The sequence below is a fragment of the Homo sapiens genome, chromosome 13 (assembly GCF_000001405.40).
Source record: "Homo sapiens chromosome 13, GRCh38.p14 Primary Assembly".
Lineage (NCBI taxonomy): Eukaryota > Metazoa > Chordata > Mammalia > Primates > Hominidae > Homo > Homo sapiens.
In genome coordinates this window covers 27,753,843-27,764,752 of record NC_000013.11, presented here as the reverse complement: position 1 = coordinate 27,764,752, position 10,910 = coordinate 27,753,843, and positions in this window count along the sequence as shown.

Here is a 10,910-nt window from a genome sequence, read left to right as displayed (position 1 = left end):
CTAGGTTGTTTTAAGGTGTTTTTTGTTTTTCTTTTTTACCATCACCACCACCAACAGTCCTACTGCTAAAATCCATGTACACATATCCGTGCGCTAACTAGTTTGTGTATTTCTGTAGAATAATTTAATAGAAAGTGAACTGCTGAGTCACGTATTTTAAACTGCAAAAGAAGACATAAAGATTTGTAATTTGTGTCTTCTTTCTTTCTGATCAATCTGGCAGAGGTTTATCAATTTCACTGATCTAAAAAATTTCTGGTAGATGGGCATGGTGGCTCACACCTGTAATCCTAGCACTTTGGGAGGCTGAGGCAGGTGCATCACTTGAGGTCAGGAGTTTGAGACCAGCCTGGCCAACATGGTGAAACCCTCTCTCTACTCAAAATAACAAAAATTAGCTGGGCATGGTGGCCCATGTCTGTAGCCCCAGGTACTCGGGAGGCTGAGGCAGGAGAATCTCTCGAACCCTCCCGGGAGGCGGAGGTTGCAGTGAGCTGAGATCATATCACTGCACTCCAGCCTGGGTGACAGAGTAAGACTCCATCTCAAATAAATAAATAAATAAAATAAAAATAAAAAAATTCTGGTTTTAGTTATTTGCTCTATTGTTTTTATGTCTTCTTACTGACTTCCATTCTTTATTATTTCCTTTATTCTGCTTACTTTAGATTTATGTTTTCCTCTTTTTTCTAATTTCTTAAAATGAAAGCCAAGGTCATTGCTTTAACACCTGTCTTCTTTTCTAACGTAAGTGTTTAATGTTACATATTTCCACTTAAGTACTACTTTAGCAGTATCTAACAAATTCTTTTATGTTGCACTTTCACTTTTATTCAGTTAAAAAATGCATTCTAATTTCTTTGACCCATGTTGTTTAGAAGTATGTTATTTAGTTTCCAAATATTTGGGAATTCTGCAGATATATTTCTATTATTGATTTCTACTTTATTTCCATTGTGGTCAGAGAACATACTTTGTTTGACTTGAATCCTTTAAGTTTATTGAGACTGTTTAGTTCCCAAGAATTTGATCTTGGTCAGTGTTCTGAAAGCACTTTAAAAGGATGTTTATTCTGCTGTTGTTTGATGGAGTATTATATAAACGCCAATTAAGTCAAGTTGGTTTATAGTGCTATACAAGTCTTCTACAACTCAACTGTTTTTCTGTGTACTTGTTCTATCAATTATTGAAACAAGGATAATAAAATCTCTAAGTGTGAACTTTTCTATTCCTTTTTATAATTCTATTAGTTTTATATTCATATTTTTCAAAATCTATTATTAGATGTACACATTTTTGACTCCTATGTCATTACATAATTACCCTCTTTATTCTAGTTCTGAAATAGTCTTTTTGATGAAATATACTTTGTTTGACATTAATGTAGCAACTCCAGCATTCCTTTGATTGATATTAGCCTGATACATATTTTCATCTTTACACTTATATGTTATAAACTTCACACTATGTTACTACCTTTGTTTAAAACAGTAGGATGTCTTTTAAGAATATTTAAATAAGAAAAAAGAGTCTTTATAGTTATGTACCGTTTCTGATGTTTTTCATTACTTTAGATAAACTTATATTTCTTTTCGGTATCATTTTCCTTCTGTTTTAAGAACTTTCAGCATTCTTGTAGTGTGGATTGCTGTCAGCTTTTATATCTCTGAAAAAACCTTAATTCATATTGTTATTTTTTCATATTTTCCAATCTGTGGGAATAAGTACCATCCGCACCCCTATGTAGAAACTGAACACTGTTCCCTTCCATCCTTTAAAAAGTTCTTGGCCGGGCACGGTGGCTCACGCCTGTAATTCCAGCACTTTGGGAGGCCAAGGGGGGCAGATCACGAGGTCCGGAGATCTAGACCATCCTGGCTACCACGGTGAAACCCCGTCTCTACTAAAAATACAAAAACTTAGCCGGGCGTGGTGGCGGGCGCCTGTAGTCTCAGCTACTCAGGAGGCTGAGGCAGGAGAATGGCGTGAACCCGGGAGACGGGGCTTGCAGTAAGCCAAGATGGCGCCACTGCACTCCAGCCTGGGCGACAGAGTGAGACTCCGTCTCAAAAAAAAAAAAAAAAAAAAGAAAAAGAAAAAGAAAAAAGTTCTTTCCCTGACCTCCTGCAGTTTCCCTACATGCATGAGTGGATCAGTATTCTCCTGAATACTCAAAGGGGATTTCTGATTTCTTTCTGTATGCAGTTTTCTCCTCTCCAGTACTCTGTTCTGTGAACTCCAGCTACCTTGGTCTCCCCAGATTTTCAGCTGTATCCTCTCAGCTCAGGAAGTCCCTAAGGCCCACCTGAGTTCCCCTTTCCTATGCCATGGCCTCAAAACTCTTTCATTGTAATAATTTGGGGGCAAGACCGGGCACGGTGGCTCACGCTTGTAACCCCAACACTTTGGGAGGCTGAGGAGGGCAGATCACTTGAGGCCAAGAGTTCAAGACCAGCCTGGCCAACATGGTGAAACCCCGTCTGTACTAAAAATACAAAAAAATTAGCGGAGCATAGTGGCAGGCGCCTGTAATCCCAGCTACTTGGCAGGCTGAGGTACAAGAATTGCTTGAAAGCAGGAGGTGGAGGTTGCAGTAAACCAAGGTGGTGCCACTGCACTCCAGTCTGGGAGACAGAGTGAGACTCTGTCTCAAAAAGAAAAATAATAATAATCTGGGGGGAATCATAGGACTCACATAATTTTTTTTCTGTCTCTCATGGATCACTGCCCTTCATTGCCCAGTTTCCAGTATCTTGAAAACCATTGTTTCAAATATTTTGTTTTTTCTTTTTTTTTAGAGGAGGGGAGACTGTTTCAGATGGGAAAGTAAATTTGTTCTGTTCCTCCATCTTGGCTGAAAGCAGAAGTTCCCAAATCAATATTTATGATAAAATGAATCCAACAAATAGAAGCACACAATAATGTAAGTGTCCTTTTCTAGCCACCGTATTAGTTCTTTTTTTTTTTATTTTTGGAGACGGTGTCTTGCTCTGTCTCCCAGGCTGGAGTGCAGTGGCGTGATCTCGGCTCACTGCAAGCTCCGCCTCCCGGAATATTAGTTCTTTACCAATTACAACTCTATTCAGATTTTTATACTTTTTACAAGGTCAAAATCTGAGTTTATTTTTATGCTATTTTAAAAGGATTAACTAGGGTATCGTAATTTAGACACACAAAAAGTGTCAATTATATCAATCTTGATTCATTTAGTTTTAAAATGTATTTATTTAACAAATAAATGGGAGTAGGGAGGGAAGTGGAGATGGTGGGGAGATAGGAGGCACTTCACAGTATTCACAGAGAGGACTCTCATGGTGCCTCCTCAGAGGGCAAAAATGGGCTCACATAACTGTTGAGCTTATCAGTTTTGCAACCTTAGTGTGTCAAGTCAGAGAATATTTTAACCAAGTCATTGCCGTTTTCATTCTGGTTTAGTAGTATCCATTTGTCTTCCTGGCAAGGAAGGCAATCCTTAAACATCCTTCAACACCCAGCTTACTGCTAAAAGAAAACATGATAGGTAAATAGGTCCGTGATCTTGCTAATGGAGGTCTAAGTGGGGCAAGAGAGGCAGAAGCATTCTATTAGAAGAGTGACAGCTGATTTCACAAATGTTTAAAACGCCTGTATATGAAAGGCATCTCGGCAAGGCGTGGTGGCTCACGAGTGTAATCCCAGCACTTTGGGAGTCCTAGGCGGGCAGATCACGAGGTCAGGAGTTCGAGACCAGCCTGGCCAATATTGTGAAACCCCCATCTCTACTAAAAATACAAAAATTAGCTGCGCGTTGTGGCGCGTGCCTGTAGTCCCAGCTACTCAGGAGGCTGAGGCAGGAGAATCTCTTGAACCCGGGAGATGGAGGTTGCAGTGAGCCAAGATCACGCCACTGCATTCCAGCCTGGGCAACAGAGTGAGACCCTGTCTCAAAAAAAAAAAAAGAAAAAAGAAAAAGAAAAAGAAAAAAAAGAAAGGGAGGGAGGTGAGATTCCAAATCAAACACCTCTCCTATGAACTGTGTTGTATTATTTGAAGACAACATCATAACAGCTGTTTCAAGATTCCCCTAATACTGATTTATCTGATGCCTAACTTCCGATTTATCTTTGACTTGGAGCCAGTACTATTTCCAGACATATTTTTAAAAAATCGTTTGTCAGCCAGGAGCAGTGTCTCATGCTTGTAATCCCAGTACTTTGGGAGGCCGAGGCAGGTGGATCCCTTGAGCCCAGGAGTTCAAGACCAGCCATTGCAACATGGTGAGACCTCATCTCTACAAAAAGCACAAAAATTAGTCAGGTGTGGTGGCATGCTCCTGTAGTCGCAGCTACCCGGGAGGCTGAGGTAGGAGGATCGCTTGAGCCTGGGAGGTGAAGGTTGCCGTGAGCTGAGATTGCACCACAGCACACCAGCCTGGGTGACAGAGTGTGAGACTCTATCTGAAAAAAAGAAAATGGTTTGTCACATATCATTTGATATGTGCTCCCGCTGGCCCTCCATGTGAAAGCCCCCCTCTAGTGATACTCTGTAGGAACAACTCCCACAGAATTCACGGTGTGGATCGAGGCAGTAGCATTACTTGACAAGAGTTGTTAAGTCTCACTTATGGCTTCTTTGGAACATTTGAGCAAAAGCCTCTGACAATGATGGAAGGGATAGTCTTCATTGTGGTCATGAAAATAAATTTAAAGAAGAATGGCTGGCCGGGTGCGGTGGCTCACGCCTGTAATCCCAGCACTTTGGGAGGCCGAGGCAGGCGGATCACGAGGTCAGGAGATCAAGATCTTCCTGGCTAACATGGTGAAACCCCATCTCTACTAAAAAAAATACAAAAAATTAGCCGGGCATGGTTGCGGGCGCCTGCAGTCCCAGCTACTCGGGAGGCTGAAGCAGGAGAATGGCATGAACCCGGGAGGCAGAGCTTGCGGTGAGCCGAGATGACGCCACCGCACTTCAGCCTGGGTGACAGAGCGAGACTCCATCTCAAAAAAAAAAAAAAAAAAAAGAAGAAGAATGAATTCTGAATTTAGTGTTTTAGTTTCCCAAATTCTAGTCATACCCTTGAGTGATGTTTTGAAATATTATGTTTAGGTTTGTATAAACATGTATTCCATTACCCCAGATCCAGGGGAATAAAATACTCAAATTGTCTTAGAAGGATAATCTCTGTTGACTTGACAAGTTTTAAAAGGACATTTCTACCAGGCCATCTAATTTTTCATGCTGCATTAAAATCTATTTATGGGGTCATTGAATCATGGACTGTGACGGTTGGCAGGAATTTTAGGGGTCCTGGAGATTGCTTTGTGGCAAATCCCTGAGATGTATTTTCTCATTGAGCCCTCATAGCAAGAAGAGGGAACTATTAGCACTTCCATTTTACAAATGCTGAAAATTAAGCACAGAGAAAATGTAAGTGCTATTTGCTAGCTAGTTAATGTCATGTCTTCACATTCCTACTCTCCCACCCTGAGAACCTCATGCCTGTAAAACACTGAAACTTTCTCAAGCTCCTCCCTTGCTGTTAAATAATCTTACTTGTTTTAGGCTTCTTCTCATACACTCTGGTTCTTCTTATTTTTATTCTGTATCTTTAGGATTTTCTGCATTTCTCCATAGTTTGTTTTATCTAAAACCCCAGACAAAGACAGTGACTACTCTTCTAAAGGCCTGGTAGGTTCTAGAAAGTGATACCTAGGTTTACATATCTGAGTGACTTGCTTGATTTTAGGTTGGGGTTACCATTCAGATACTTTGGAAAATAAAATTGACTGAACATTTACTCTAATTCCAGTCTCTGCCAAAAATCCCTCTAAAAAGACAACAAAGGATTTTTTCCATAAGGATGGGGAGTGTGGAAGAGGAGACGAAACAACAAAATTTGGGGAAGTACAAGTCAGGAGGATTTAGCAAGGATTTAGTTAGAGGTGACTTAGCAAATGAAGGAAGCTGAATCTCAAGCTGCTAATAGGGGAAGCCAAGAAATAGCCCATTTGACATAGTTGAATCCCCAAATCTCAGGAACCAGGGGGGCCAGGTATGCCTTCAAGTGAGAGTGAAGGGGGAGCTAAACGAAGAAGGATTTGCTGAAAGCTGTCTGCAAAGCACCTGATTCCCTTTATTATCTATGAGTTAGGGACTTCCTCTCCCCAAACCTAGCAGAGGCTAGAGGCCTGTTATCTGGAACCTGTGTAGATGGAGGACAATATGTCCACCCAAAGTCATGGGTACTAACCTGAAACCAGATGAAACGTTAGAATACATGTAACCAGGATTTGACCTTCCAAAAGAATATTTAAAGGATCTTTTTAGGCCGGGCGAGGTGGCTCCTGCCTGTAATCCCAGCACTTTGGGAGGTTGAGGCTGGCAGATCACTTGAGGTCAGGAGTTCAAGATCAGCATGGCCAACATGGTGAAACCCAGTCTCTACTAAAAATACAAAAATGAGCTGAGCGTGGTGGTGTGCACCTGTAGTCCCAGCTACTTGGGAGGCTGAGGAGGTAGAATCACTTGATCTGGGAGGTGGAGGTTGCAGTGAGCAGAGATCACACCATTGCAGTCGGCTCATCCTATCACCCAGGCTGGAGTGAATTGGTGCGATCTCAGCTCCCTGTAACCTCTGCTTCCTGGGCTCAAGCAATCCTTCTGCCTCAACCTCCTGAGTAGCTGGGACTACAGGTGTCACCACTCCTGGCTAATTTGTATTTTTTGTAGAGATGAGGTTTCACCATGTAGCCCAGGTTGGTCTTGAACTCCTGACCTCAATTGATCTGCCCGCCTTGGCCTCCCAAAGTGTTGGGATTATAGGTATGAGCCACTGCACCCAGCCTGAAGGGTGTTATCTAGGGAATCTGACCAGTACAAGAGACCTAAAGGTGCTGACAGAACAGCCCAACATGGGAAACTCAGACCTGACAACCTTCAACTTTATGCTCAGAGATGCTAACTGGCTACTGTTAAATATACGCAAATAAGCAAACTATCACAGTGCTGAGGAAAGGCATCTAAATGAAAGATAGAGACCACAACACACAGACAGAAAAGAAAAATGAAAGACCAAACCTTGGAGATACAGGAACTGTGTAGGAGCCAAAAACTTCAAAAATACAATTAATGCTCTCAGAGACACTGTAGGAAATACTGTAAACATGAAACAAGACCAGAAAAAACATTTCCAACCTAGAATTCTATGCCCAAACAAGCTCTCAATCAAGCGTGAGTGCAGAATAAAGGCATTTTCCGATATTCCAGATCTCAGAATTTTTCCATCTTATGCATCCTTCCTTGGGCAACGAGGAGAATGTGCTCCACCAAAATAAGAGAGTAAGCCAAGTAAAATGAACATAATGGGATACAGGAAAAGAACACATAACATTAAAAAAAGTGAAAGAAAGGGGCTGGGTTCAGTGGCTCACACCTGTAACCCCAGAGCTTTGGGAGGCTGAGATGTTAGCAGTTCAAGGCCAACCTGGGCAACATAGAGAGACCCTGTCTCTACGTGTGTGTGTGCGTGTGTGTGTGTGTGTGTGTGTGTGTGTGTGTAGCTGGGCATGGTGGTGCATACTTGTAGTCCCAGCTACTCCAGAGGCTGAGGTGGGAGGATCACTTGAACCCAGGAGCTTGAGGCTGTAGTGAGCTATGAACACATCACTGCACTCCAGCCTGGATGACAGAGCAAGGCCCTGTGTCAAAAAAAAAAAAAAAGGAGAGAAAGAAAGAAAGAAAAGAAAAAGGGGAAGGGACTCAGGGAAATGATAAAAAGAAAGGTCTCAGGATGACAGCTGTGCACCAGGCCTGCAGAGCAGCCACTTCATGTTGCAGCAGGGCAGATCTAGCAGGGTTTTTCAAGATGAAATTTGCAAGCCACTTTGACAACTGAACATCTTGAGAATAGATTTAGGCCTGGCACGGTGGCTCACGCCTGTAATCCCAGCACTTTGGGAGGCAGAGGCTGGTGGATCACCTGAGGTCAGGAGCTCGAGACCACCCTGACCAACATGGAAAAACCCCATCTCTACTAAAAATACAAAATTAGCCGGGTGTGGGGGCACATGCCTGTAATCCCAGCAACTCGGGAGGCTGAGGCAGGAGAATCGCTTGAACCTGGGAGACGGAGGTTGTGGTGAGCTGAGATCACACCATTGCACTCCAACCTGGGCAACAAGATCAAAGCTCCACCTCAAAAAAAAAAAAAAAAAAGAATGTAGTCTGCACAATGGCAGAGATTAATATGTCTTTTTCACAGTTGAATCCTATACCTAACAGAGTACCTAACACTCTGTAGGTGATCAATAAAGTTTGTTGAATGAATCACTGAACCTGGGCAGTCTGAGAGAGGAGTATGTTCTTCATGTAACTGTGTCTTTATCACCATATTATAGGCTGCCCTCAACTCCTGCAAAAATGCGATGTTTTGAAAATAGAAAGGATGGAACCAGGGGCTGGATCTGTGCTACACATGGAAAAGTGACTCAAAGGCAACATTCCTTTCAGGGAACTATTACCTTTTTTTCAAATATGTTAGTCTCTATTTTTTTTTTGTCTCCATGAACCCTGCTTGAGCATTTGTATTGTTATTATAGTTTATAGTTAAAAATGACACTCAAGAAACTAGCAAATAGCTTGTGTTCTATTTAGAAAAGACTTCGGCTGGGCGCAGTGGCTCACACCTGTAATCCCAGCACTTTGGGAGGCCGAGGCAGGCGGATCATGAGGTCAGGAGATCAAGACCATCCTGGCTAACATGGTGAAACCCCATCTTACTAAAAATAGAAAAAATTAGCTGGGCGTGGTGGCGGGTGCCTGTAGTCCCAGCTGCTTGGGAGACTGAGGCAGGAGAATGGCGTGAACCTGAGAGGCGGAGCTTGCAGCGAGCCAAGATCATGCCACTGCACTCCAGCCTGGGCGACAGAGCGATACTCGTCTCAAAAAAAAAAGAAAAGACTTCATATACCAAAATGTAGGTTTATAAAATACATAAATATAGGCAAGGCTATGGGCACCCTAAAAGATCCTGAACTTATGAAAGAAATCATGTGTGAATTCTGATAAAAAGTCAACCCCATGGCATACTTAATGTATTTTTCAATTTGCAAGATCTTGATGTGCAATCACTTGAGGATATCTAAAGTGAGGTTTATGTAAGGTGGTATATACTTGCATAAAAATTTTACTGTGACCATGAGTGAGCAAGCCCGGGACCTTTATTATCACCCTTATTTCAGCATCTCTTATTATACATCACTGATAATTGTCATCTTAACTTTGAGCAGTATCCCTTAGTTTAAAGAAAGAGAGAGAGAAAAAAAAAGAAGAGTTAGGCTCCAGTCGACTTTTTCCAGGCCAGAGTTTATTATTTGCATGAAAATCCCTTAATGTTGGCCAAGAGTTCTCAAAGGCAACTGTCAGGCTGCTGACACCATCAAAGGAATGATTCCCTGAAAAAAGCCAAAGCATGAGGGATTTCTTCACAGGTCCTTCTCTGGTTGGGTTCCAGTGGCCAAGCAGAGGAGAATCTGGATTGGATAACCAATCTCATCTGTCCAGCATCTTGAAAGGGCAGAAACTTTTCTAACCTACCACTGTATCAGATCTGCTGGCCCAGAACCATCCACCATGCCCCAGTCTATAATTTGACAGCACATGGCAGCAAGACCCCTGGTCTGGGTGATGTTAGAAACAAAATGCTTCTTCCTCGGTGCCACAGAGAAATAGCACTTAAACATAAATTTAATTTTCTCAGCAAGGCAATTTTTACTTCTATGGAAGGGTGCGACTTGCAGACGGAGTAATGGCAAGAGCACACCTGGACAAGGGAGGGGAAGGGTTTCTTATTCCTGATGCAGGTAGCCCCTTCTGCTGTGTCGTTCCCCTATTGGCTAGGGTTGGACTGCACAGTCTAAGCTAATTCCAACTGGCTATTTTAAAGAGAGTAGGGATACGAGCTGGAGTGGTGGGGTGGGTAGGATGGTGGGAAGGGCAGTTACAGAACAGGTGACTCAGAATGATCCGGGTCAGAGCAGGTGACCAGGGGTGATTCAGGTCAAAGCAGGTGACCAGGAGAACAGATGTGAACTACTGATTAGAACTGGTGGGAAAGTTGTTTACTGAAACTAGAGGCAAGGGGGCGAAGAGAACCAGGAAGTTAAACTTTAAAATGGAGAATCAAAGAATAAGAGAGCTGAACATACTGACATACTGATTCTTTGAAGAGAAACTTGGAGTTCAGTATGTCTAAGTGATCATGGAAGAGAACAAACTTACTGGCCTGGGTTGGGGAAAGGGGTGCAAATGTTGTTCTTTCACTTTGAAGGACAACGCACATTTGGAGTGTTTTCTCATTGCAATCACCCCATTTACTGCACATTTACTAACTGTGAAACACTATGTTAAGTGTTTAATCTTTACATCAATGCTGTTGAGGAAATATCACTTCCCCTACTTTACAGATAAGATACGTTAAACTCAGAGACTCACTGGTCTTCTCCAAATCTCCACCCAGTGGTATCATGTGCAAGCCAATCTGAGAGCCCTTGAAACGCACTTGCTCCAGTGATTTACTACCAGGACCTACCACATGAGTCAGGCCTCTGACCCCATGACTTTGAGAGAATTATGCAGTGTGATGGTTCATTTTATGTGTCAATGTGGCTGAGCTAAGGGACACCCAGATAGCTGGTAAAATGTTATTTCTTTTCTTTTTTTTTTTTTTAAGATGGAATCTCACTCTGTCACCCAGGCTGGAGTGCAGTGGCATAATATTGGCTCACTGCAACCTCTGCCTCCCGGGTTCAAGCGATTCTCCTGCCTCAGCCTCCCGAGTAGCTGGGATTGCAGGCACCCACCACCACACCTGGCTAATTTTTGTATATTTAGTAGAGATGGGGTTTCACCATTTTGGCTAGGCTGGTCTT